A 28,000-nucleotide genomic window follows, 5' to 3' on the forward strand; every position below is an offset into this window, starting at 1 on the left:
ATTTAATAATTTAACTTATATAATAATAATTTAATTTATTATATATAATATATACAATAATTTAATATATAACATATAATAATAATTTAATATGTTAATTTAATAATTACTTTAATAATAAATCATTATTAAATATAAAGTATCTATTATTTAGATAAAACCTAACTATCCTTGTACACAGCTTCTGTGATGTTTAATTTTGAGTGTCAACTTGATTGGATTGAAGGATGCAAAGTCTTGTTCCTGGGTGTGTCTGTAAGGGTATTGGCAAAGGAGATTAACATTTGAGTCAGTGGACTGGGAAAGGCAGACCCACTCTCAGTCTGGGTGGGCACCATCTAATCAGCCGCCCGTGAGGCCAGAATAAAAGCAGGCAGAAGAACGTGTAAAGACTAGGTTGGCTTAGTCTTCTGACCTACATCTTTCTCCTGTGCTGGATGCTTGCTACCCTCAAACGTTGGACTCCAAGTTCTTTAGCTTTGGGACTCAGACTGGCTTCTTTGTTCCTCAGTTTGCAGACGGCCTATTGTAGGACCTCACCTTGAGATCGTGTGAGGCAATACACCTTAATAAACTCCCCTTTATGTATACATTTATCCTGTTAGTTCTGTCCCTCTAGAGAACCCTGACTCATACAGCCTCTGGAAAGATTTATTGCTGCCTCTTGCCCTTTTTAAGAAATAAAATAATTAATTGATATGGTTATTTAAATTGTTCAAGAAGTAAGAGAATACATTCTAATCATCAAACATCTAAATAATTCCCCAAATGTGAAACTCTCCTTTCATTCATGCCCTGCTCCCACCTAGCCATCTGCTCTTCCCAGAGGTATTCACTGCTATCAGCTCAGTGTGAATATCTGTAGCTTTTTGCTTACCATTTCATTTATAGGAACATATAGAAACATATGGTTTCTTTTTTCTATCAAAAATAGGGTCTTATGCTACATATTGTTCTACAACTTCTCTTTTTACATAACGTGGCTTATTTTTCTTGGTGGCTGTATGCTACCCCAGAGGATGGAGGTGCCAGATTCATTTAACCATCTGTTATTGACAGACATTTAGGTGGTTTCTTGTTTTTCAGTATTATGAGGGTAATTCTTTAGTCTTTCATTCTAGGGAATGCTTGATATTTTACAGTCAACATATGGCTGAGTAAATATTTAAGATTTTATGTTGACATTTTGCTGTCAAGTCCGGAACTTTTATTATGCAATTCACCTTTTGGATTTTACGATAGTATGTGTTATCGCTTTCTCCGTCTTAGTTGGCAAGGCCACACCTATCAATGTTGACTATCTTTTCTAGATAACACAACTTCAGTTTTCATGGCTAAGAGCCCGTAAGCAGTAGTGGCCCTGCCTTGGCTATGAGAGCAATGCTTAAGGATGCATAAATCGGAGAAAATATGAAAATGACATTTTGGGCCGGGCACTGTAGCTCATGCCTGTGATCCCAGCACTCTGGAAGGCCAAGGCAGGCAGATCACTTGAGGTAAGGAGCTCAAGACCAGCCTGGCCAACATGGCAAAACACCATCTCTACTAAAAATACCAAAGAAATAACTGGGCATGGTGGCACATGCCTGTAATCCCAGCTACTTGGGAGGCTGAGGCCCAAGAATCACTTGAATCTGGGAGGCAGAGGTTGCAGTGAGCTGTGATTGTGCCATGGCACTAGCCTGGGCCACACAGTGAGACTCCGTCTCAAAAGAAAAGAAAAGAAGAGAAAAGTGGCATTTTGGAGATTTAAGAGTTCTACTCCTCCCTCTTCTCCCCTCTAAACTCTTATCCAGTTGAACACAGACTTGAAGAACCAGGGGACTGTCAAGTGAAACATCAGATGTATTATATTAATGAGCAAGGACAGTGTCCAATCCTTTCATATTTAGGGTCTCCTATTAGCTGTGCTGGAGAACACAGCTTAGGCCTGAGGTCAAAGCGAGTGTTTTTACAGGTAACCCTTAAATCTAGACTTTGAACCTATCTTCAGCAACTTGGTTTTCAGGAGTTAGTCCAAGCAAGTTCCCAGACAGCAGAGGGTCTCCAGCTACCCAGGGAGCCATCATCCGGGGGAGGAATGGTGTTACTCTGAATGCTCACCCATTCTTGGTCAGCAGCCCAGGGGATGTTGAACCTTCCCTACTCTTCCCAAACAGATTAGCCTGTGACCCTCCCATCAGAATGAGTGGGTAAGGGGGTACGCAGAGGACCAGAAGCACCCAGTCCTGCTCTCTTCTAGGGAATGGGATAGAAATCCCTTCATGGAAACATGCAAGCAGGAGAATTGGGTCTTCCTCAACATAGCACATAATCTGGCTTTCTAGATATTTTCCTTAAAATTAAGGATTTTTCCAAAAAATCAGGCTATTAATTTTTGTGTACTGTAATGAGTTACATTGTGGGCCCCCAAAAGATAGATGCATATCAGTATCTGAACCATGAGAATGGTATCTTATTTAGAACAAGGCTTTAGCAGATGCAATTAAATTAAAGGTCTCAAAATGAGATTACCCTAGATTACTCTGGTAGATCCTAAATCCCGTGACAAATGTCCTTATAAAAGACAGAAGATACAGAATACAATGGCATGTGTGGATGGAGGCTGAGCTTGGCGTGACACTGCCACGAGCTAAGGAACGCTTGGAGCCAGCGGAAGCTGGAAGAGGCAAGAATGGATTCCCTTTTAGAGCCTCCAGAGTGAACAGAGCCCTGCTGACGTCTTGATTTCAGACTTCAGGGCTCCAGAACTGTAAGAGAATAAATCTCTATTGTTTTAAGCCACCCAGTTTTGGGTTACTGCTGTAGCAGCCCTATGAAACTTACACGTTTACTGTAAGAATGAAAGAAGGGGCTGGGCACGGTGGCTCATGCCTGTAATCCCAGCACTTTGGGAGGCCGAGGCGGGCGGATCACGAGGTCAGAAGATCGAGACCATCCTGGCTAACACGGTGAAATCCCGTCTCTACTAAAAGTACAAAAAATTAGCCGGGCATGGTGGTGGGCACCTGTAGTCCCAGCTACTCTGGAGGCTGAGGCAGGAGAATGGCTTGAACCCAGGAGGTGGAGCTTGCACTGAGCTGAGACCGTGCCACTGCACTCCAGCCTGGGCAGCAGAGCGAGACTTCGTCTCAAAAAACAAAAAAGAAAGAAAGAAGAAAATGGCATTCTAGTCCAAATTAGAAAGACGAGACTATCGAGATTAGGCTGTTTACCTTTGCTCTAAATTCAGCTGTTTCCTATCCCTATTTAGAGCTGTAGTTATTTTCCCCCCGTTCATAACCCACTTGTAATTTTCTTTCATCCAGCCTTCACTGGGGCTTCACTGGAGCTTATTTATGAATCCCGCCGCTGATGGTTTGCTCTGGCTTGTGCCAGGAGGCAGCAGGCGCCTTGTGAGTGATGATGATCCAGCTCTCTTTTGCTTACCAGCTCTTCTAGGGCATCTGATTTTTCTTTTTGTCTTTTTTAGGTTCAGGGGTGCACGTGCGGGTTTGTTACATAAGGAAACTAGTGTCACGGGGGGTTGCTTGCACAGATTATTTTGTCACCCAGATACTAAGCCTACTACTCATTCATTATATTTTCTGTTTCTCTTTCTCCTTCCACCTTCCACCTCAGGTAGTCCCTAGTGTGTGTTGGTGTGTTGTTCCCCTCTTTGTGTCCAGGTGTTTTCATCATTTGGCTCCCACTTATAAGTGAGAACCTGCAGTGTTTGGATTTTTGTTCCTGTGTTAGTTTGCTAAGGATAATGGTCTCCAGATCCATCCTGCAAAGGACATGATCTCATTCTTTTTACGGCTGCATAGTATTCCGTGGTGTATATTCCATGGTGTATATTCCATGGTGTATGTACCACTTTTCTTTATCTAGTCTACCATTGACGGGCATTTAGGTTGATTTCATGTCTTTGCTATTGTGAATGGTGCTACAATGAACATACATGTGCATGTGTCTTTATGACAGAATGATTTATGTTCCTTTGGGTATATACCCAGTACTGAGATTGCTAGGTCAGATGGTAGTTCTGCTTTCAGCTCTTTGAGGAACTGCCACACCGTTTTCCACAATGGCTGAACAAATTTACATTCCGACCAACAGTAAATAGGTGTTCCCTTTTCTCCATGACCTCTCTAGCATTTGTTATTTATTTATTTGAGACTGAGTCTCACTGTGTCACCCAGGATGGACTGCAGTGGTGTGATCTCGGCTCACTGCAACCTCCACCTCCCATGTTCAAGCAATTCTCCTGGCTTAGCCTCCCAGGTAGCTGGGATTACATGCACATGCCACCACACCCTGCTGATTTTTGCATTTTTAGTAGAAACAGGGTTTCACCCTGTTGGCCAGGCTGGTCTTGAACTCCTGACCTCAAGTGATCCACCTGCCTCAGCCTCCCAAAGTGCTGGGATTATAGGCGTGAGCCACTATGCCTGGCCTCATGTTATTTTTTCGCTTTTTAGTAATAGTCATTCTAACTAGTGTGAGATGGTATCTCCTTGTGGATTGGATTTACGTTTCTCTAATGATCAACGGTACTGAGCTTTTTTTCATATGCTTGTCGGCCGTGTGTATGTCTTCTTTTGAAAAGTACCTATCTGTGTCCTTCGTCTGCTTTTTAGTGGGGTTCTTTCTTTCTTTCCTTTCTTTCTTTCTTTCTTTCTTTCTTTCTTTCTTTCTTTCTTTCTTTCTTTCTTTCTTTCTCTCTCTCTCTCTCTCTCTCTCTCTCTCTCTCTTTCTTTCTCTCTCTCTTGTTTGAGACAGAGTCTCGCTCTGTCGCCCAGGCTGGAGTGCAGTGGTGCAATCTCGGCTCACTGCAAGCTCTGCCTCCCGGGTTCATGGCATTCTCCCGCCTCAGCCTCTTGCGTAGCTGGGTCTACAGGCACTCGCCAACACGCCTGGCTAATTTTTTGTATTTTTAGTAGAGACGGGTTTCGCCGTGTTAGCCAGGATGGCCTCGATCTCCTGACCTCGTGATCCACCCGCCTTGGCCTCCCAAAGTGCTGGGATTACAGGTGTAGGCCACCAAGCCCGGCCCTTTTTTTCTTATAAATCAATTGAAGTTTCTTATGGACGCTGGATATTAGACCTTTGTCAGAGGCATAGTTTTCAAAACAGCATGGTACTGGTAGAGAAACAGACACATAGACCAGCAGAACAGAGTAGAGAGCCTAAAAACAAGTCTGCACACTTACAGCCATCTAATCTTTGACAAAGTTGACAAAAACAAGTAATGGGGAAAGAACTCCCTATTCAATAAATGGTGCTGGGATAACTGGCTAGCCATATGCAAAAGATTGAAACTAGACTTCTTCCTTACACTGTATACGAAAACCAACTCAGAATGTATTAAAGACTTAAATGTAAACCCAAAACTATAAAATCCCTGGAAGACAATCTGGCAATACCATTTTGGACATAGGATCTAGCAAAGATTTCATGACGAAGATGCCAAAACCAGTTGCAACAAATGCAAAAATCAACCAATGGGATCTAATTAAACCAAAGAGCTTCTGCACAGCAAAAGAATCTATCAGCAGACTAAACAGACAACCTGTAGAATGGGAGAAAATATTTGCACCTGGCTTTTCTGCGTCCTTCTTTGGCTGCCCCTTAGTCTAAATCCTGGCTCTGATTTCCATACATCTTGGTTAAAGCAAAGTGAGAAGAGATAATGAAGGCTTTCTACTTATGCTGGTAGCCTGAGTTCTCCACGACAGTCTCCTTCTCTTTTTTTTCTTTAATTTAAGGCTCATGGGTACATGTGCAGAAAACAAATACTGCATGTTCTCACATATAAGTGGAAGCTAAACAATGAGAATACATGGAAAGTCTCCTCTTATTCAGGAGAAATTGACTTGGGAAACTTTTACCACAATATGTCAATGAATTCAATTCTCAGTTCACCCACACTGGCCCCTCTGTCATTGTATCAAATAGCTTTGCTAAGAGTGAGCATTTTCAGCATCTTTATAGCCTTCTTTGGCCCTTTCCTACCAATTGGGGCTTTTACAAAGGAGTCAAGTCCTCCACCTTCTTGGTGGGAAATATATTGAACCACAAATTGAACAAAACAGAATAGGTTTAAAACAGCTGCTCTTCTAATGTTCAGCTCATCAAACTTGCACCAGGCTACTGGTGATCTTAACACTACTGGGAGAGAGATTGCTTTGTGGGAGATCATCCCACCCAGCGGAGGTGATGAGTATGAATCCCTCCGTTGGCCTTCAGGATGGCCAGCAGGGCCAGTTTTATGAATGTGCCACCTATATATGTGTGACCTATATAGTCACACAGCGTTTGGTTTAATGCTCTGCTGTTGCTATCCTGAATTTCTTAATAATTTATGAATAAGAAGCCCCACAGTTTCATTTTGCACTGGGGCCCACAAATCAAGTAGTTGCTCCTCGTAGCCATCATGGGTCTGGGACACTGAAGTCCCTGGAGTGGTCATTTTCTGCAGCAAGCTACCTCCTCAGTTACCTGGTACATCATGGATGCTTTCTTTGTTGGTTTTCCTTTTCAATAGACACTATGGTCAGAAGACTTCAGGAAGTAACACTAGAAATTATGCATAGAGGTTTGAGAAGCCATTTCCCCCTTACCTCCCGCTTGGAGATATTTGGCAATACTTGGAGACATTTTTGGTTGTCACAACTGGAGGTGCTACTGGCATCCAGTGGGTTGAGGGCAGGAATGCTGCTAAACATCCTACGATACTCAGGACAGCCCCTAACACAGAGAATTATCTGGCCCCAAAGGCCAATAGTGCTAAGGTTGGGAAGCCATAAGCTAGAGGTATTCAAAGGTGATCCTTATACCTGCAGCCTCAGAGACACCTACAACCTTTTTGGAAATGCAGAATCCCAGGCTGCAGTCAGGCCTCCTTGAATCATAATTGGCATTTTGACAAGATTAACACAATCCCCAGGTGTCTCATGCACATTAAAGTTTGAGAAGCCCTGTGCTAGAACAAAACTTACTTTGCTTGTGCTTGAGTGTCTGCAACGTTGCTGATGGGCCTGCCCTGGAATGGGAAAGGCCAAGTTTGGAACAAACAGGACATATGGTGTGAGGAAGGAAAGCCCAAAAAGCGATTATGGAATTATGGCAAGAGAGGAAAGGTACAGCCACAAACTAGCTGAGTACAGAGCAACAGGTCTGGAAGACAAGGCAGGAGAGGACATAAGTGGCCAGTCCTGGGAGGAGCCAGGGGCACGGAAGACAGGACGGACTGTGATGTGAGGGATGGGATGGGGCTAGTGGTTCTAAGGAGAGCTTGAATCCCCATTGCATGTAGCTTGTTTTATGGAAATGGGTAGCGAAGCTTATAAAGGAAACACACTGGTGAATACAGGTATTGAAAACCATCAGAAACCACTCAGCGTCTGGACTGTGATGTGGGTGTTATAAGAGTCTGCCTGTGTTCGTTTGCTAGGGCTACCATAACAAAGTACTGGGTGGCTTAAACAACAGAAATTTATGTTCTCATGGTTCTGGAGGCCAGGAGTCCAAGATCAAAGTGTTGGTAGGGTTGATTTCTTCTTAGGCCTCTGTCTTTAGCCTGCAGATAGCTGGCCACTGCTCCTCATGTCATCGTGTGCTCTTCCTCTGTAGATGTCTGTGTCCAAATTTCCTCTTCTTATAAGGAGAGGCAGCAGTCATACTACAGTCATACTAAATTTGGACTTGCACATATGACTTAATTTTTTGTTGATTACCTCTCTCCTGCCCCTATTTCCAAATGCAGCCACACTCTGAGGTACTGGTGGTGAGGACATCAGCATGTGAATTTTGGGGAAATAGAATTCATTCCTCTGTTTTCTGCCCCCAGGCACCCGTCAACATCCAGATCTTCCATTCCTCTTTACTGGGCTCCCCTCAGCACCAATCCTGGCCCTTTTCCCTGTGACCTTCCCCATTGAGACATGAGGTTCACTAGCTCGTGGGGAGCCCAGCATCCTATTAAATATTAAACACATAGGCTCTGGGCTCTTGAAAGACAAAGCTGGGTTGTGAGCCAAGTCCTGCTCTTCCCTCCAGAAAGCACTTTCTTCCCTCTCTGGGTACACCACACGGAAGGCCCCCAGGTTAACCAGGGCAATTATTAGTAAACGGTTAGAGCACGGTTGTCTAAATGTTTTGATGGATAGGTTGAAGAAGTATGAATGCAAATGAATTTTTAAAACACACTGCAGCTATTGTTGGGTATAATGGAATGTCATTAAGCACATTAGCTGCTGATTTTATAATCAAGTGCTAACATTTTCTGGAAGGTAACCTAAGTAACAGGAGATATTGGCCATTTGCAAAACATGTTTAAACAAAAAAGATTCAGAGACAAGAAGTGCCTCTCATCTTAATTATTTTTTTGCATCATAAAAACCTCACAAACAATGCTTCTGCAAACGCATAATGGATGTGGAGCAGCTGTAGAAAACATCTCACTTCTTTTGTTGGGAAACGATGTTTTACATTTGGGAAAAAAAAATTCTGTCCAGCTGATTCTCTTCCAAGGAGAGGGCGAGTCTGAGAGAGAAATCTCTGCTGTCTGAGGAATATCTATCTGTGTCCATCAAACATTGGTAAAACTGTCGTGGGAATCGCTGAAATTGTGCTTGTTTTGCTGTAGATGTTGCTTCTTCAAGGTCATGTCTGGGTAGCAGCTGAGTCTTCAGGGGAGGGTGACTTAAGCATCACACCCTGCCATTGATTTCTAAGGAGCATCCTTCCTTATGGGTAGAGAGAGAACTTCTTTTTGTTCTGTTCTCTTTTCCTGAGCCTCTCACAGGCCGCCAGCATCAGCCCAGACTTGTTTTTCTAGATGCCTAAAATAATATGGCTGACCAGTCCGAACAGTGGGGGCAGAACTACCACAACAACTAAGCCAACCACCCTCAGGCAAGTGGCACATCCTGCCTTTTGAAGGTCTTAGATGTGAACCTGTGGCCAGGGAACTCTGTCCAGTGGGCCAGCAGTCAGCAACCTAGCCGTGGGACACAGTGGCAAATGAACTCTGGTGTATTGTTCCCCAATTGCACCAGAGTTCATTTGCCTGCCTTGGTTGACACTGACAAGTGGCCCTGGATGAACTGAAAAAAAGTGATTAACCAGCAAGCATATCTGAGCAAGAGACATGGGCCATGAGCGGAAGCTCTTTGGTTATTTGCCTTGAGGTGAAAGGGTTTTCAGCCTTCTTGGTTCGCAAATTCAATGTTTTTCTTTCATGGAGGGAGTATCAACCATGGGGAGGATTGATAAGTGTTTTGTTCACTTGCTCAATGTCTATTTATCCCTCACAATTTTGCCTAGCTTTTCCCTTCTTTATTAAGTCTTACTTTAAACAGTTATAATTAACCAAACCATACTTCTCTGTGTTGGCCCCTTCACAGGACAATCTGTCTGTCTTTACCCTGTATCAGGTGGCTATTGCTGTATAGCAAACCACTCCCAAATTTAGTGGCTTAAGCAACAACTGTTTACCATTTCTCATGAGTAACTGACAACCGGATAGTTCCGTTGATCTGGTTGAGGCTCCGATGATCTGGGCTGGGTACATTAATATATCTGTGGTCAGTTAGCAGAACTGCTTGGGGCAGTTGTTTAAGGATGGATGATCTTTATTGGGACACATTAGCTTTCCCTCATGTATTTCTTACCTCCTCCTATAGGCAAACCTGGGCATGGTCTCACAGCTGTGGCACCAGGTCCAAGAGAGAAACAGATTGCTCAGGTACTTTATCGAATCTCTGATCCAGTTGGCCAAGGCACGCCACAAGAATCAGTGTGAGGACACTACCAAAAAATCAGGAAGGCATGGAAAAGTAGGATCTTTAATGTAATCAATATAGACACAATCCCCCATTCTGTAGACTGTCCCGTTACCATATTCAGTTACCTTGTCTAACTTCGAACTGAAGTCCAGCTGGCTGAGCTTGCCCTCCCTTTCCAGGAGGAATGAGATCTTAACTCCCGTGACCCTCACCCTGGGCAGAGAACTAGCATGAAGAGGGTCACTAGACCATAGGCACCTCAGGGGAATGGCCAAAATTGCACTCTGGATATGTGGCACATTATAGGGACTTAAACAGTATGTGATTCAGTGGAAAATGACAGATTCTGCATTCCCAAGATGCAGCCTAGCTAAACTCCATTTTACCATTTCTCAAAATCTCCCACCAGAAAGGCCCTGGCGCCTCACTCAGTATGGATATTTTTCCCCAATTACACTTGAGTTCATTTGCCTGCCTTGGTTGGCACTGGCATGCAGCCCTGGGTGAACTGAAAAAAAACAGTTATTAACCAATGAACATCTGAGCAAGAGATGTGGCCCAAGAGAAGAAGCCCTTTGGTTCCTTTCCTTGAGGTAAAAGAGTTTTCAGGCTTCTTGGTCCACAAATTCAATGTTCTCCTTTCACCGAGGGAGTATCAACCCTGGGAGGGTTGATAAGTGTTTTGTTCACTTGCTGGATGTCTATTTATCCCTCAAAATTTTGCCTAGCTTTTCCCTTCTCTATTAAATCTTACTCTAAACAATTATAGTTAGCTAAACCCCTTGTATATAACCCACTGCACCTATAAAATTCTATTATTCTTTCATTTTTTTTTTCACTACATGTGTACTGAAGGCTTCCTGTGCACCAGGCACTGTTGAGGGGCTGTATGAAGAGCAGTGAACAAAAGCAAAGTCCCTGCTCTCACGGAGCTTACACATGGAAGAAAGAACTTAATAATAAATAAAGAATCAAACAAATAAATACTATATGAGCTGCAAAGAAGAAAAATAAGATTAGGTGAGGACAATGATGGGGTATGTGTTTGTGTGGTGTGTATGTTCATATATGGGGTATTTGTGGGGTATGTGTGCACATGCGTGTGTATATGTATGTGAGTGTGTGTGTGTTTGTGCATGTATGGTTGGGGATTCTATATTAGACAGTTGGTCAGGGAAGCCCTTTCCATAAGTTGCATTTAAGCAGAGACCTGGATTACATGAGGAAGTGTGAGTATTTTGGGAGAGCTTCCTAGCTACAGCAGATAGAGCAGGACTGACATGTTTGAGGCATGGTGAGAAAACCAGTTGGAGTTTGACTGGATAAGGGAGCGAGTCCAGGGCATGCAATTTGAGAGGTAGAAGGTCTCTGATTATGTTGGGTCTTATAGGCCAAGAAAACAACTTAATTTTGTCCTAAGTGAGATAGGAAATGTGATAGATGAAATAATGGTCCCCATTTAGGTCCCCATATCCTAATCCCCAAAACCTGTGAATATGTTATACGGCAAAAGGGACTTTGAAGATGTGATTGAGTTAAGGATCTTGAAACGTCCTTAGGCATAGGGTGATCCCTATGTCGTGGGAAATTTCCTTATAAGGGAGAGGTGGGAGAGTCAGAGTGAGGGAGAAGATAGGACAACAGAAGCGGAGGTTGGAGTGATATGGGGCCATGAGCCAAAGAATGCAGGCAGCCTCCAGAAGGTGGGAAAGGAAAGGAACTGATCCCCCAACTGGAGCTCCCAGGAAGGAGCCAGACCTCCTGATACCTTGGTTTTAGCTCAGAAGATGCATGTCAAACTTCTGACCTCCAGAGCTGTAAAATAATCAGCTTTTGTTGATTTAAGCCACTAAATCTGTGACTTTTTTTTTTTTTACAAGAGGAAGTCACTGGAAAGTTTTGAAGATAATTATGATAGAGACCGACTCACATTAAAAAAACACACACATAACTGGGTGACTATGGGGAGAATAAGAAGAGGAAGACCAAGTAGAAGAGTTTGTAAAAGCCCATTGAAGAGTTAATGGTGCTTGGCTGGAGTGGTGATGGTGGAGAAAAGTGAATGAACTCTACATGTGTTTTGAAAATAGACTCCATAGGACTCAGTATGTAAGACATTAGTTATCAGGGCTCAGAGGGGCATGGATGACTCCAGACTCTTGACTTAATCGCCTTAAAGGATAAAAATGTCATTTACTGAAAGTAGGGAAGTTTGGAAGAAAATCATATTTGGAGATGTGGTGTTTGTATGTGGGTGGAGAGAGTGGATTAAGAATTCCATTTGGATATAGTATGTTTGAAATGTCTATAAGTGATCAAAATGGAGATGTCAAGTATCCTGTTGTTTTTTGTGAATTTGGAGCTCAGGGGTGTGTTCTGGCTGGAGGTCGAACTATAAGCGAGCCATGGAAATTGATGAAATCACCTAGGAAAGGTATGTGGATTGGGGAGAGCACAGGCTGGAGAGGGGAAGTGGCAGCATTCCACGTAGATCTTCCCAACATTAACAATACTCCTTGTTTGGAACCCAGGCTAGAGAAGAGTTCTAGAATATTGGTGTGAAGAATAAACAACTAAGGAGATTTCAGAGTTACCCACTTCCCTCTGCAATGTAGAATATGACTGGACCCAAGGTGATATTCCCTAGCACATATTCATAATAGAAATATATGATGTTTTGTAAAATAGATCATAAATAAAACCACATATTTGAGCAAGGCAGCAATCATATTAACCCGTGTACTGTGATAACCTTTGTCTAAATATACCCATGAAACTGCTTTAATATGGTTCATCAGATAAATAATGATTGCAAGAAAAGGGTTAATACTTGGGGGAAGCAGAAGGAAGTGTACTATGTGGAGGGCAAGATGGCTTCCCAGATTGATTCATGTGCTCTTGTTGACTGTTTCCATGTCATAAATCTCCAATGAAGAGCCTTGCTGTTTCCAAATTGAGGGCGGGGAAACCCCAAACAAGAATACAATGGCTCACCAGGGAAGGCATTAACCAACCTAAATGCTGCTTTCCTTCCCTGAAGAAATCTCCTCCATCTGTGCTAGAGTCGTTATCTCTGCCTTCCTTGGAAAGGAGAAAATTTGCACTCTCAAAAACAGGATTTGTGTGGCCAACCTGACTTTGGAGATATAAAATAAAATGATAAACTTTCCAAATGAAGAACAGAATTAGCTCTGAGTTCTGACTTTGCTTGTCCGGCAAATGAAGACAGAGCCATATGCAAAACTGCCTGCTGGAAGGAAAACAAGTTCCTTGGTACCTGACCCACAGAACTGATCTGACAATAGAGAAGAGCTCATGTTCAAAGACACGGTCCAACCTTAGGGCTTTTAAGAAACTCACGATCATTGCCTTGATTATGTAAGTTGTCTTCTATTACAAAATGACCATGCTGCTATATTCTCGCCATATGCAGAATGTATCAGTTAGCCTTTTCCACCGTAATGCTGTATAACAAGCCATCCCCAAACTCAGCAGAATATAACAATAAGTATTTCTTGCTTATACAGCTGTGAGGTAGCTGGTGTTGGATCAGTGGCTCTGTTCTACACATTTTCATTACTGGGGCCACGGTGAAGGGGCAGCATTTATCTAGGGCAGAGGGAAGGCCTTCTTATGGTGGAGGTTGGAAGCCCTTACAGGGGTGAGTGGAATTACACAATGTTTCTCAGGACCTAGGATCAGAAGTGGTGTACTGTCACTTATATCCAGATTCCAATGGCCCAAGCAAGTTACATGGTCAAGTCTAATATTGCGTGACAGGGAAGTGCACTGCTCCCATAAAGTTTAGGGAAAGAGAGTGAATATTTATTAAATAATAAGCTAATCTGTATGGGGAGTAACATTAAATTTCTGTTTTTTAGATGTGCAAATTGAAACACATTGAGATCAATGCCATGTCTGTATAATAGTTCACAGTTGAAACTCAGAGAAAACATACTATATTAACAATGAAATTGTTATTCACAAGGCTATCTGTTGCATGTCCATGTACTTGGTCATCAAATATAGCTATTCTCATGAAAGAGCCAGAATGACTCTCCTATCATTCAGTGAATGCCTGGATGTCAGTGACCACATAGTGACCTGTTGAAAGTTGATTAAAATGACCATCAGATAATTGGATGATAGCTTGTGACTGGATTACATGACACAGTTTTGAATCTTTTCTCTTTCCAAAAATCAGTGAACTGTTCATTAAAACCCAAGCCTTGTTCTTGGGAGACCATACCATGACCATCTTCTGGCTTCAAGCTGTGACAATGTGGCAAACATAATCTGTTGTTCAAGGATTGACTCACATTTTCCCAGCTACCAAGATGACTGAGAGTCCAGTGTCAGTATAATCTCAGTGAGTCTGGTTTGGTCAGCTTGCCCAAAATAATGTGGACTTGCAATGGTTTGAATGTCCCCTCCAAAATTCACGTTGAAACTTAATTACCATTGTAACAGTATTAAGAGGTTGGGATTTTAAGAGGTGATTAGCTCTTGAGGGTTCTGCCCTCACCAGTGGATTAATGCTCTTACCTTGGAGTGGCTTAGTTATCACAGGAGTGATACAAGTTCCTCCCGTATCTTGTCTTGCATACTTGCGTCGGCCCTTCTGCCATGATATGACCCTCACCAGATGCCACTGCAATGCTCTTGAACTTCCCAGCACCCAGAACCATGAGCCAAATAAACTTCTATTATTTGCAAATTATGCAGTCTGTGGTCTTCTTTTATAGCAATGGAAAACCAACTAAGACTGGGCATGTGTCACCTCATGGACTCAAATGAAAGAATATGGTCTCTTGTATCAACTAGTTTCTTAAAGCTTGGTTTTCGGCACTGGGTCCCTCTTTTTCTTTTCATCCTCAAGAAAAACAGAGGTCAGCTTCTCTCACTTCTCTTTGATGTCATGTCTGTAATTGCTACTCTTTCAGGAGAGGACATGTCCCACATTTGTCCTGCCATGTGCATGGGCTCAGAATCCGAAGGGAGGTCAAAAAAGGAAAGGATCAACTAGGGGCCACATGACTCTGATAAATTTTAAGATATGGAGGCTCAGTAGTGCCTGCCCACACCGAATCCCTTACTAACCTGGATGACAAGGCTCCAGCAGTGGGCCTGGCCTCTTGAGAAGTGATACTCTAATTGTACATTTCTGTTCATCAAATGTGTCCATCAAACTCACTTCCTTTTTCTCCAAATGCTCCCTAAGATATTTCCCAGCCTCCCCTGCAGCTCAATGAGGTCATGTGACTGAGTTCTGACCAATGGAATGAGGGCTGATGGGATTCGCTCCATTCCCAGGCCTGGCTGATGCATACCTCCCACACTCTCTCCTCAACACTCTCTCCCTTTCTACCAGCTCATTGTCCTAACGAGCAGGGTGGGGCTGGGGCCATGGGTTAAAGATGAGCCAAGCTGCCTACCAACCGGGAACACCTGGTCGGTTACACGAGTAAAAAATAACTTATATTTTGTTAAGCCACTGGAATTTGGGGGTTGGTTTGTTCGAGCAGTTAGTGCTATGCTGATTAAAAGCACTTAATTATTTTTTTAGTCTCATAATAAAACTCTCTCACCTTCCCATGCCTCCAGGGCCTTTGCTTGGACATGGTGATGATTTGAGGACCCAAATATGTCTTTCTCGTCTTTAAGGCTGACCAGAGTATCCTTATGAGTGAGCCCTATATTCTGTCCATGATAAGGCTGATGACAGCTAATAGTTATCAAAGACTTATTATGTCCTGCACGCTTTATGCATGTGGATTATACCTTGTGAACCTCAAAAATCCAGTGATGTTTATTTTGTCTTTTTCACTGTTTAGGAAATTTGGGTTCAGAGTAGCCAAGTAATATGGCCAAAATCATACAGCTAGAAAACTAGGGAAGTCAGGAATGAAGCCCAGGTTACCGGACTCTGGAGTTTGTGTGCTAACGACTGTGCTGGGTTCCTGTTGATGGTTAGTCCTACCTGTGGCAGAACTTTCTCCAGGCAGCCTCTCATGGGTATCTCTGGAAACCAGTGCCTACTCTCTTGCCATCCAGAGTGACTGAGCTCTCCATGCACAGCCTATCCCTAGCCCATCCCTGATTCTGACAAAGTCTGAGCAGAAGGACACTGTCTGGGCTCCAGGCAGCTACACCATTCATCTTCACGCTGCCTCTGTTTGGAGACAGGCTTTCACAAGCCAGCCTTTTCATTTAAAAACCTCAGCCTGCCCTTTTGCTCACCCACACTGGGAGGCCATGTCCACAGGAGCATTTCTCCCATTCAGCCTAGTGACGGTGAGACTGATTACCCATTGCCCCGCTTTCTAGATTGCTGAAGCCAGGAGCAGCAGGAAAAACCACCTTCAAGGCTACTGCATCAAAGCAATGGACTTTGCGGAACAACGATGAATGGGCCAGAGGGGGGCCTGTGCGTACTCTCACAGCATAATAAGGTGCCTGCTGGCAGACTCCCTCCAAGAGAGTCAGAGACACTCCCTTGCTACAGTCAGGCCTCCTCTTTTTCCTTCTGGCCAAGGCTGAGCTCTTGTCCCTATCAGTCAACCTTGATGTCAATTTCCAGGAAACAGTCAGAGGCAGCTCAGAGAACCAGTGAGGCACTGGGAGGTGACTTGGGGTGAGTACGTGGGGATTGGTAGTGGGTGTGGAGCTGAGCTTGGAGCCCTGGGCAGTCCCGAGCAGCCACAGCCTGAGCCTAGAGCTGACCCTGCGATGTGGGCAGTGTGTGGAACAGCGGTCAGAAGCGCAACCACTTGCTTGGAATGTTTGCTCCCTCACTTCCTAATTGCAAGACTATGAATTCATTTCCTAATTTCTACACGACTCAGTTTCCTTATGTGTATAATGGGGCCTTTAGAAATAAAACTACTCCCCAAGGATGTGACAGGCAGAGAAGGTGCTTTGCAGAACAGCAGCTTTTATGATGCCCTTCCAGGCCTTACCTCCTAAGCAAGCCTTGTTTGGTTCACAATGTTTTTCAAGAAAATGTGAGGGCTCTGGAGGAAAATAATAGAGAACCCTGTTGATATCCCCTGTGGGGTCATACTTTAAGGCTTCAGAAGGGAGAGGCCAGATTGATCCTTTGAGCTTCTCTACCTTATTTCTCTCAGTGAGAGAAGGGCAAGGGAAGGGCAAAAAAGTAAGGTTGCTGTGTTTTTCCCAGTGAAGTGGGCTGTCACCTGGCCCCTTGGACCTCAATCCTGGTTTGCCTTTGCTTCCTATCTGCAGGTGGCACCTCCTGTCTAAGATGGGAAAGGCAGGAGAGTGGGTTGCTGGAGAAGGAGGTGGCAAAGAGAGAAGACTGAACACCAAGACAGTGAGGAGACCCTCAGGACCGCTCGGATGCTGAGAAGGTTGGAGGGCCAGAGCATGCAGGGGAGCCAGCAGACCCCGCCTCTGCTGTGAGGAGTCTCTCTTTCATTGTGTGGCACTGAGAAAGCCCTGGACCATGTGGTCTAATCCCATGGCGAGTGTGTATTTTTCAAAGTCTAGTACGGTGGCAATTCCAGTCTCTCTTCATGTTCTTAAGCAACTGAGGGGGGTTGTCTTGATTTGGTTTCCCCAGAAGCCAACCCCGAGACTAGGATTTGAGTGCAAAGAATTTGTTTGGGAAATAATCCCAGGAAGCTCCAGTAGGGAAGTAGGAGAGTGATGCAGATGTGGTAGGCTAAAAAATGGCACCAAAAGACGTCTCTGTCCTAATCTCTGCAACCTATGAGTGTTACATTTTATTGCAAAATCTTTGCAGATATAATAACATTAGGCTCTTAGGTTGGGGAGATGATCTGGATTATCTGGGAGAGCCCTAAATACAATCACATTTACCCTTCTAAGAAGGAGGAAAAGGGAGATGAGACACAGGAGAAAAGAAGGGCATGTGACGGGAGAGGCAGAGATTGCAGTGGTGTAGAAGCAAATCAAGAAATCCCCACAGCTGCCAGAGCTGGCAGGATTCTCCTCTCCAGCCTCCAGAGGGAGCACAGCCCTGCTGACATCCTGATCTCAGACTTCTGGCCACCAGTACTGCAAAGGAATACATTTCTGTTGCTTAAAGCCATCACATTTACGAGGATTTGTTACAGCAGCCACAGGAAATTAATACGACAGGGAAGGTAAGGAAGTTATCGAGGGTGTGTTAATAAACCAGCTACTTCTGTGGGCAACTGAGGGGCTCCTGGAGCCCTAAGTACTGCACTTCTGGTGGTCTCACCTGCAGGGCAAGAAAACTGGAGTTTGCCTGCACCGTATGTTTCAGTCAATGTTTGATGGCTACTTTTGGGGGCATCAAGTCTCTGGCTCCTCTGGCCTGCTCTGTGCACCCAAGGAATGAGCTCTCTGTGCCTGAGAATGCCATCAGGCAGAATATCTATTGCAGTTTTCTGCAGTAAGAAGCTGCCAGCATGCTCTGAATTGGTGTTAAGGGGTAGCTTCTGTTCTGAGGGTCCATGGTCAATTTGACGGTCTTTTCTTCTGGTGTCTGGATCTCTCACATGGCCTGTGGTCTCACACTCCTCCTAGCCCTGTCTCACCCAGGGCAGCCCTGTTCAATCATCTTTGGCACCTGAAAGCTCTGTCTGAGTTGGGGAAGGAGAAAGTTGGTGAATCCCTACAGATGATTAATTTTGTTTCTATTACAATTATAGTAAAAAAGCAAAAGGAGAAAGGGATTTCCACAGGATTGTGGAATTGAATTTCTTTCCCAAATCTGCCCCTCCAGTATATGGAGAGAAACATCATCTAGGTGTTCCAGTGGCCCACCATTTCCCCCTGCCATTGTGTCTCTTCAGCACATTTCTCTGGATTTCAAGTCTGTTTGGGCAGTGCACTGAGGACCCCAGGAATATTAACTACCTATGTAGGGTATTTTACAGTTTCCCCTCAGTTTTGGGACCAGTGTTTTAGTTACTTCTGGTGATGAGAGAGTGAGGATGGTATTGTTAGATGTGTTTGAACCATAGCAACTCCATCTTGAATAGGGACTAGGTAAAATAAGGCTGACACCTGCTGAGCTGCATTCCCAGTAAGTTAAGGGATTCTTAGTCACAGGATGACATAGGAGGTTGGTACAAGATACAGGTTATAGAGACATTGCTGATAAACAGGATGCAGTAAAGAAAGTGGCTAAAACCCACCAAAACCAAGATGGCAACGAGAGTGACCTCTGGTTGTCTTCACTGCTACACTCCCACCAGCGCCATGACAGTTTACGAATGCCATGGCAACATCAGGAAGTTACCGTATATAGTCTAAAATGGGGAGGCTTGAATAATCCACCCTTTGTTTAGCATACCATCAAGAAAGAACCATAAAAATGGACAACCAGCAGCCCTCGGGGCTTCTCTGCGTATGGAGTAGCCGTTCTTTTATTCCTTAACTTTCCTAATAAACTTGCTTTCACTTTACTGTATGGACTCACCTCGAATTCTTTCTTGAATGAGATTCAAGAACCCTCTCTTGGGGGTCTAGATTGGGACCCATTTCTGGTACCAGTATTATAAAAATATTAATCACTAACCATTACTAAACATTAGTCATTATTAATCAAATCTGTTTTACAGCAGGGAGAACAGAAGTTGATTGCCTTACTACTCAAAGTATGGTCCGTGGACCAGAAACATCAGCCTCACCTAGGAGCTTGTTAGGAATTCAGAATCTCAGGCCCCACTCTGGACCTGCTAAAGTAAAACCTGCATTTCACCCTGATTTCCAGGCTGTTCATTACACTTGGGGAAGCACTGACTTACTCATCCTAACTGAAACTCTGTTGAGACCTGGGTCTTCTTTGCAGACATGAAGAGAGGGAGTGGAATGAGCAGAAGTAGGCACCTTAGCATCAGAGGTCCTCTTCTATGGGTGCCCTGGGGACTGAGGACTCCTCCATCTTCCTACTGCTGCTTCCTCTGTGTTGTTAGAAGAGTCCTTTATACTGCTGGACCTGGTGAGTACTCTGCGATTGTGTGTTGAGATGTGAGAAGTTACCACTCCGTGTCATGGGAGCGGGAAGGACAAAACCACTTCACACCTTACTGGGGGATTATGAATTCAGGGCCACATTCAGGTGGTTGCTTCCTCTGGCAACCTCTCCTTAGCCCTCTTCCCCCTGGACCGGGCCTCTGGGGGTGAGGCGGCCGTGCTTCTGTCTGCCCAGTTCTGAAACCCTTTCTACCCTTTTAGGCCCCTCACCTGGGTTGAGTCTGTCATATTCTGCTCCCTAAAGCTACCAAGGTTCCAACTTATCCCACGTCTTTCCATAAGCTCTTTTGAATTTTCTCGCTCCTGTAACATCTCGGACAAGAGGCGCGTTGTTACGCTAAAGCCAGCTTCTCCCATGAGCCTTTCTTACACAAATAAAATAGATGTTTGCCTTTGTTCCTTCCACTTCACTTTTTTACACTCCCGGGCACAGGCTTTTAACAGAGTTTATTATAAATGGAAAAGAAAGCCGCTAGGGGCTATAAAGGGTGCCCCTGCATTCTTCCAATTCCAGCTCCTGCCCTTCCCTGCTGCCTGTGTTTTCAATAATGAGTGTCACAGGGGGATGGGGAGATGAATGAGGACTGATAAGAGCAAACCATTATCTCCCTCAGCTCTTGGGAGCAGGCGAGGGGTGCCACCACCTGAGCTTCTGCACCAAGACAGGCAAAGCACTTTCTCTGTGGTCCTCCTGTCTCCTCCGCCTCCCCATGAAGGAGTTTCTTTGGGGGGAAGAGCAGCAGACTCCAGTCCCAGGACCTGGGTTCCTTGTTTGGCCTTTGCCACCAACATACTGTGAGGCAGTGATCATGTGACTGAAGCTTTCTGGGCCTCAGTTTCCTTCTGGGTAGAGAAGCTTGTTCTTCCTGCTTCACAAGGTTGCATGAGTCCATGTGTTAAGATATTCTTCCTTGGATAAAGAAAGAAATACATAGTTCCCACTGTCTTCCTGAAAGTGCCTGCCATTGGTTGTGATTCTGTCCTGTGGGGCTCCAGAGGACAAGGCTAAGCTGCCTTACACCAATGATGGTGAGATAATAGATGTGCAAGCACTTGGTAAACTGTAAAGTGCTGTGCCTGTGTGCAGCATTGTCGTTGCTGTGACCCATGAGTCTGATGGTCCACCGTGGGGTACTGAGAAAAAAAAGAGGGTGAAACTAGGAAGCTTCCATAGGCCAGGGGAGAGGCTATGGGGAAGGGAATTTCAAGTGGGATAAAAGCTGGGTAAGAAGGGAAGGGAGGATGCAATGATTAAAAAGAAAGGGTCAGTGCATTGGACATGATAATGGGCATCCTTCATATATTTTGTTTTATTTTATTTTATTTTATTTTGGAGACAGTGTCTTGCTCTGTTGTTACCCAGGCTGGAGTGCAGTGGCATGATCTCGGCTCACTTCCACCTCCACCTCCCGGGTTCAAGAGATTATCCTGCCTCAGCCTCCTGAGTAGCTGGGATTACAGGTGCATACCACCACACCCAGCTAATTTTTTTGTATTTTTAGTAGAGATGAGGTTTTGCCATGTTGGCCAGGCTGGTCTCAAACTCCTGGGCTGAAGTGATCCACTCACCTCGGCCTCCCAAAGTGCTGAGATTACAGATGTGAGCCACTGTGCCCAGACCTTCATATGTTTTAAGTTTGGATTTCACCCCTTCTTCCTTACCTCTGAACTTAGGGTTGTCCAAGTCCCTCTTGATATGATAAAAGATTTAAGCTCAAGGTTCCAGTCGCCTTAACTATTTCAGTCATCACTAAGATGATCACCTTCTTTGAAAAACACACTTTGTACCTGTTGATATCGTCTCGAGTTGCACTGGCCATTTCTTTTTGCCAGCTGTGTTTTATATTGGGCTGGCGGAGCTTACAGTCAACTCATGCATCTTTTCTCTTATGAGCTGGTACCAATTTGGCTCTCACTATTTTTCCATTTTGTATTTAAGATAAGGGAAGAAATTTTCTGTAATTAATATTTTTTAATAATGTAAAATGTCAGTGGCTTAAACAGGCATGATGAGGCTCCAGCCAGGTGGACAATCCCATATGGGTTTCCAGGAACTTAAGCGGGGATTGGTGAAGTGGTGACCGGAAGCAGAGAGGGGAGGGAAGGGCCAGAGGGCTAGTGTGGGAGGACCAGCCTCCCTAATGGCCCCCAGTGAACCTGGCCCCCTACTGTTCATGCCCTTGTGTAGTCTGCTCATGAAGTAACTCAGAGAGACTATCAAGTATGGCCATGATTACAGCTTGTTAATCTCTCAGGCTTTCATAAAAGGCATGGCAGCTTCTACCTTGGCCTCTTGGGTCTCTTAGTTTGAGGGCATCCGGTGACCATGACCTGGGGAACCTCAAGCAGCTTTCTGGAGAGGCCCAGGTGAAGGAGAACTGGGGTCTCCTGTAGACAGCCAGCACCAATTTGCCAGCCATGTGGGCAGCTACTCTGAAAGATCCTCCTAAGACAAACATTCAAGTGGCTGCCATCCTGGCCAAGTCCTTGCCGCTGATAGACACCCCCCAGTCAGGAATGCCCAGCTAAGCCACTCCTGAATTCCTGACCCATTGAAACTCTAAATGATAGTAAACGTTTATTGTTGTTTTAAGCTACCAAGTTTTGGGGTAGCGATAGATAACTAACATAGTGGGTACAAGCTCTGTGCCGGGGAGAGCTGAGGGTCAAGTTAGAGAAGTCAGTTTTTGCTTTTGCTCCATGGAGTAAAAGTTTTTGCAGGAAAAAAAGCCTTTTTATTTTATTTTTCTAAGAAAACGTTGTAGTTTATGAGAACTGCTTCTCAGGAAGGAGGGAAGTGTTGACCACTCAGGGGTCTGGAGCTACTGCACCCCTTAACATATCAAGTCACAGGCTTAAGAATCCATGAATACAACAGAAAGTCCCAGTGAACATGGCCTGTGGTTGTCAGGGGATGAAGGGGTCTTGTGACATTCGGAAGAGAAAGATGAAGTATTGTGATGTGCAGTGGGGGAGAGGAAGGTGGTCCTTGCCATAAATTAGCAAACTTCATTCAGACTTTTAGAAAAGCATACAGAAAACATATCTTTGAAAGAAGTTGCAATATTTGTTCAGTAAAACGTATAGGATCTCCAAATGCGTTGTAGTGTTTGTCCAAGGAAGTAAAGCACTGAAGATCTATAAAGCAGTCATGGTGTGGTTTCAGCAGAGTAAAATACTCTGACTCTCTCATTAATTGAGATTTTTGAGTTTTGGGATACGTGAGATGAAGTTCAACTGACCGTGGATTATCATCAGCAGGAGGCCAGAAATGAAAGCCAGACCATAAGGATCAGGAGCAGGGCAGAGCCGGAGTGGCCAGGGCCAGGGCTCAGAGCCAAGTGAGGATGCTTGACAGTTGCTGCAAACATGGCTGCTCAGATATTTTTAGAGGGACTGTTAAGAGTCTATGACTGGGATAAGCAACTCCCTGCTCCAGTCTGGGATTCTCTGGTCCTATTCTCAGAAACTTGGGCAGTAACAGGGCTCTGGTAGTGCTTGCCTACTCCTGGGATATATAAAAAATCTATTGACTGAGTCAAGTTGAGGCCACAGATATCAGGATGCAAGGGATTCTGGTTCTCGCAGTGAGGGCTCCACACCTTCTGTACATAGGCAATCTAGTGTGGGATTTCCAGTTTTCCTGGGAGAAGGCAGGTTTTTCTGTTTTTTTTTTTTTTTTCCCTGTCCTAGTACATGTGCCTGAGTCGTCCAAACGATACGGGATGACTGGATGAAAGGTGCCCAGCTAGGCCAGGCGTGGTGGCTCACGCCTGTAATCCTAGCACTTTGGGAGGCTGAGGCAGGCGGATCACTTGAGGTCAGGAATTCAAGACCAGCCTGGCCAACATGGTGAAACCCTGTCTCTACAAAAAAAAAAAAAAAAAAAAAAATTAGCTGGGCATGATGGAGCATGCCTGTAATCCCAGCTACTCGGGAGGCTGAGGTGGGAGAATCGCTTGAACCCAGGGGTAGGGTGCAGAGGTTGCAGTGAACCGAGATTGTGCCATTGCACTCCAGCCTGGGTGACAAAGAGATACTCCATCTCAAAAACAAAAACAAACAAACAAACAAAAAACAAAAAGAAAAGAAAGGTCCCCATCTAAGCTGATGACAATTAGAAGTACTATTATTTTCAAGACGTTAAGTCAGCTTACCTTTCCAGTAACCTAGGTCTCTTAATAGTGTTTTCCTTTTTCTGATTGAAAATAAAATGCAACCAATTGAAAAAATAAATAACGTTAGAGAATTGTGAAAAGGCAATAATGTCTTCATCCAGGCACTCAAAAATATGGGTCATTTTTATGATTCTCATGGGCACATGAAATACATACATGAAGGGTATGGCCTAAACAAGACTGATTTGGTTGCAAGAACCAAAATCTGATTTGAAACAAACCAGCAAGCAAAAGCCAAACAAATAACCCCCCCCAAAAAACAAAAGAAGGAAGAAAGAAAAGGGTGAAAGAAAGAAAGAAAGAAAAGAAAAAAAGAAAAAAAAAGAAAAGGAAAAGAAAAGAAAAGAAAAAAGAAAAAAGAAAAGGAAAGAAAGAAAGAAAAGAAAGAAATTTATTGGATTTTGCTTTGGATGTTTGGCTTAGCTGCCATCTTCCATTCTCCGTATTTCTTGGTTCAGATTCTCAAGAGAGAGAATTGGATTGGCCAAGAGCAGTTCAGGATCCTTCCAAGGCAGGCAGGCTAGGACAGAGTGGTGGCAGGGCCTTCTCCTCTGGGTTGGAAGGGTCATTATTAGATGGGAGGTTCATGTACTAGGCAGACACTCCAAAATGTCTACTACAAACCTCCACACTGGTGGGGAGCACTGGCCAGCTTATAACCACACACACTTCGGTGGGCTATAAGAAATCCAAAGCTTTAAGGTTGTCTGATTTAGCAAAAAAGAAAGTTATTATAAGTATTTAATAGTTGTGACATATTTAATACCAGGAAATTGTTTGTTGTTTATCTGAAATTCAAATTCAACTGCACATCCTTTATTGTATCTGGCAACTTGACCCAAGGGTGAGGGTTATCCTTCTTCGTTGGAGCTGTCATGGAAAAAGAACTGGGAAAATTTTAACTCTGAGTCTCAAACTAAGTTTTTCATGCCCAAGGGCTGCTTGTATTCATGTCCTGTTTGTTTTCTGTGATCTGTTTTCATTTTCAAGAGAAGCAACCTGGTTTGATGAGAAAACAGAGACCCCGACACTGAGGTCTGAATCTGCCACTTGTGGACTGCATGATGCTGAGCAAGCCAGTGAGGTACCTCTGTCTTCTCATCTGGAAACCAGGCATCGCCATGCCTATTTCAGAAGGGTCCTGTGAGCTCCATCCCTGTTGTTCCAAATGGTAACACTTCCTTTGTTCTTCAGGCTGAATAGTATTCCATCCCATATATATATATATATATACACACACACACACACACACACACATACATATATATACACACATATACATATATACACATATGCATATATACATATACACACTTATGCATACATACATACATACTCTACATACATGGATGTATATACATCTTCTTTATCATTTCATTCATTAATGAAGCACTTAGATTGTTTCCATTCTTTGGCTATTCTGAAAAATGGCGCAATGAACGTAACAACACAGATAAGTCTTTGAGATACTGAATTTAATTTCTTTGGAAAAATATCCAAAAGTGCTCAGTGAAACAAGCGAGACAGAGAGAGGCAAATACTGTATGATCTTCCTTCTATGTGGAATGTACAATAGTCAAACTCATAGAAGCAGAGAGTAGAAGGGTGGTTGCCAGGGGGTGATGGAGGGAGAGGGATACAGGGAAATGTTGCTCAAGGAGCACAGAGTTTCAGCTATGCCGGATAAATAAGTTTTGGAGATCTAATGTACAGCGTGGTGACTGTAGCTAACAATAGTGTTTCACACTTGAAATCTGCTAGGAGCAGAGAGCTCAAATGTGTTGTTCTTAGCACACACATACACACACAATGTAACCATGAGAGCTGATGGGTATGTTAATTGTTGTAATCATGGTGATTATTTCACAATGAATACATACATCAAATCATCAAGTTATGTAACTTGAAGATGTACAATTAAAAAAATTATTTAAATATTGTTGTGAGGAAGAATACCTAGGGGGATACCAGCCATGCGGCAGGTTCTCAACTAATACATGTGTTCCTTCTCCTTGCTTACTCATCATACAAACAGAAACACCAGTATCTATTATCATTATTGAGTAGCTATGATCATGTATATGCCAGCTGTGGGATCGTGTGCTGTTCAAGCACTGTCTCATTGGATTCTGGCAACAATCAAGTGAGAGAGCTACTATATCCCTCTCTAATTTACTGATGATGAAACTGGGGCTTAGGATGGTAAAAGAGTAGTCCAGGGACACAAAGCTTCTAAACAGCAGAACCAGGATGTAATCCTGGGGCCGGGCGCCTCCAGCGTTCAAGCTGCCAGTTCTCAGTACTTTTCCTTGTACTCAGAAAGCAGAAATCCCATTGTGTGGCATGTGGAACAGTTGCAGTGTTGAATCTACCCTCTGTTCAAGTATAATTGGGCCTGCAACCACTTATTGACTAATATTTGTTGAGTATTTACACCATTGCAGGCTCTCTTCTGGACACTGGGAATGCACTGATGAGCAGGGAAAGTCTCTTCATGGAATTCCAATCCCAGTTAGGACACAGACAATAAACAAACAGACACAAGCAAGACCGAGCATCATATTGCAATACGTGATATAAAGAGAATGATATGGAGGAATGAGAGATGTGACTGTTGGTTAGGGAGTCAGAAAGGGATATTTTGAAGAAGGATGTTCCCGGAACATTTCTCTGAGGAGGTGGCCCGTGAGCCAAGTCCTAAAGCAAACATGGGGAGATGCAGACGGAGGGCTGATGGCAACAAGAACAAGCCAGGAGTGATATGGGCTCAGCGAAGAGGCCGGTGTGAAGCAGAGTGTGCAAGGCAGAGAGGTAGGAGATGAGGTCAGACCACAGCAAGGAGGTAGAGATTTATTCCTTGGTGATGGGGAGATACACAGCGCCAACCACAGCTTCAGAAGAAAGCCCTCCTGTCTCCAAGGCGCTGAAGCCTGCATGAGGAAACCAATCATGCCACTTATCGCCCCAGTTTGAAAAGTAATTGCAGACACATGTGAAAAGGGCAGGGCAATCTTTTCTGCCAATTATGTGCCCTGTTATTAGGCGATTAGAAGCTGGTGAAGTCACGGTGTGAGGGATTAGCCGCACAATCTCCTCTCCCACCGCCTCCTCATTTCTGCTGCTTCTCCTGAGGGCACACTCTTCCTTCCCCAGGGAATGGTCCCAGCTTGAACAGGTGCCTTTCCAAATGATGTCCTCTAAAGCAGCTTGTCCTTGTTTGTAAAAGAAAAATGAGACCGGCAAGAGACCCTTAAAAAACTGCAGCTGAAAAGCAAGGTGACAATATTGCAGACTTTCGAAGGGTCTTGTCCTGAGTGTTCCCAGAGCTGGGAATCCACCAGATTGTGTTGGTCCTTGACACACTTCCATTCATATGCCCCTTTCGTGTTTTATTCAGTTCTTATGCCTGTGTACACCTGCCCATTTCTGTGGGTCTTTTCTTCACTGATTTATCCAGCTTCTCATTCTTTAAGCCAATACTTAACTTAGCACCTATTTTCTGCCTGGCACAGAGCTATTCTTTTAAATTAATGGTGAAGTCTAGTGGTTAAGAGCTTTGGGCCCAAACAGTCCTGAATTCAAATCCCAACTCAGCTCCTTCAGTTCTTCCTACATTTAGCTGTGTCATCTGTGTACATGTTTAAGTCATATAACTTAATGGGGACAGTGGAGGGATGGGGGTCTCTGTCTCTCTAATGCCCTTCATTCATCCTCATTCTCAGCCCTGATGGATAGGAGACTTTCAGCCTAGCACCCTAACACAGGGTAGATGTCAGTGGTGGCAAGAGGACGTTGGTTGGTGTGTAGTGTCCCACTCTGGAGGTGAAGATCCAAGAGCAGGGCGGCTCTGCAGGGCGTGGCCTCTGAGGGCAGGACACGTGGGCGTCGAGGAACTGCATGAAGCAGGAAGGCTGGGAGGAAGAAAGAGAGGCAAAGGGAAAAGGGAGCAGAGACAAGATAAGGGGCTTGCCACACCATCAAAGAGGAATCCCTGGGGCCTGAATAAAAGCCAGCTAAGCCATCCTGTTCCTGGGCTTCTATGGAGCTTGGTTGGCTAAG

The 28,000-nt window shown here is 44.2% G+C and overlaps 3 annotated features.

Moving 5' to 3' along the window:
- Window positions 12,488–13,022: an enhancer, noted in NCBI's record as "NANOG hESC enhancer chr16:82632313-82632847 (GRCh37/hg19 assembly coordinates)". NCBI's record gives its function as "activates a minimal SCP1, AML or CMV promoter by ChIP-STARR-seq in naive H9 embryonic stem cells {active_cell/tissue: H9 hESC(naive)}" and the evidence as "EXISTENCE:reporter gene assay evidence [ECO:0000049][PMID:30033119]".
- Window positions 19,587–20,101: an enhancer, noted in NCBI's record as "OCT4-NANOG-H3K27ac hESC enhancer chr16:82639412-82639926 (GRCh37/hg19 assembly coordinates)". NCBI's record gives its function as "activates a minimal SCP1, AML or CMV promoter by ChIP-STARR-seq in primed H9 embryonic stem cells {active_cell/tissue: H9 hESC(primed)}" and the evidence as "EXISTENCE:reporter gene assay evidence [ECO:0000049][PMID:30033119]".
- Window positions 20,102–20,616: an enhancer, noted in NCBI's record as "OCT4-NANOG-H3K27ac hESC enhancer chr16:82639927-82640441 (GRCh37/hg19 assembly coordinates)". NCBI's record gives its function as "activates a minimal SCP1, AML or CMV promoter by ChIP-STARR-seq in primed H9 embryonic stem cells {active_cell/tissue: H9 hESC(primed)}" and the evidence as "EXISTENCE:reporter gene assay evidence [ECO:0000049][PMID:30033119]".

This window comes from Homo sapiens, chromosome 16, assembly GCF_000001405.40.
Source record: "Homo sapiens chromosome 16, GRCh38.p14 Primary Assembly".
NCBI lineage: Eukaryota > Metazoa > Chordata > Mammalia > Primates > Hominidae > Homo > Homo sapiens.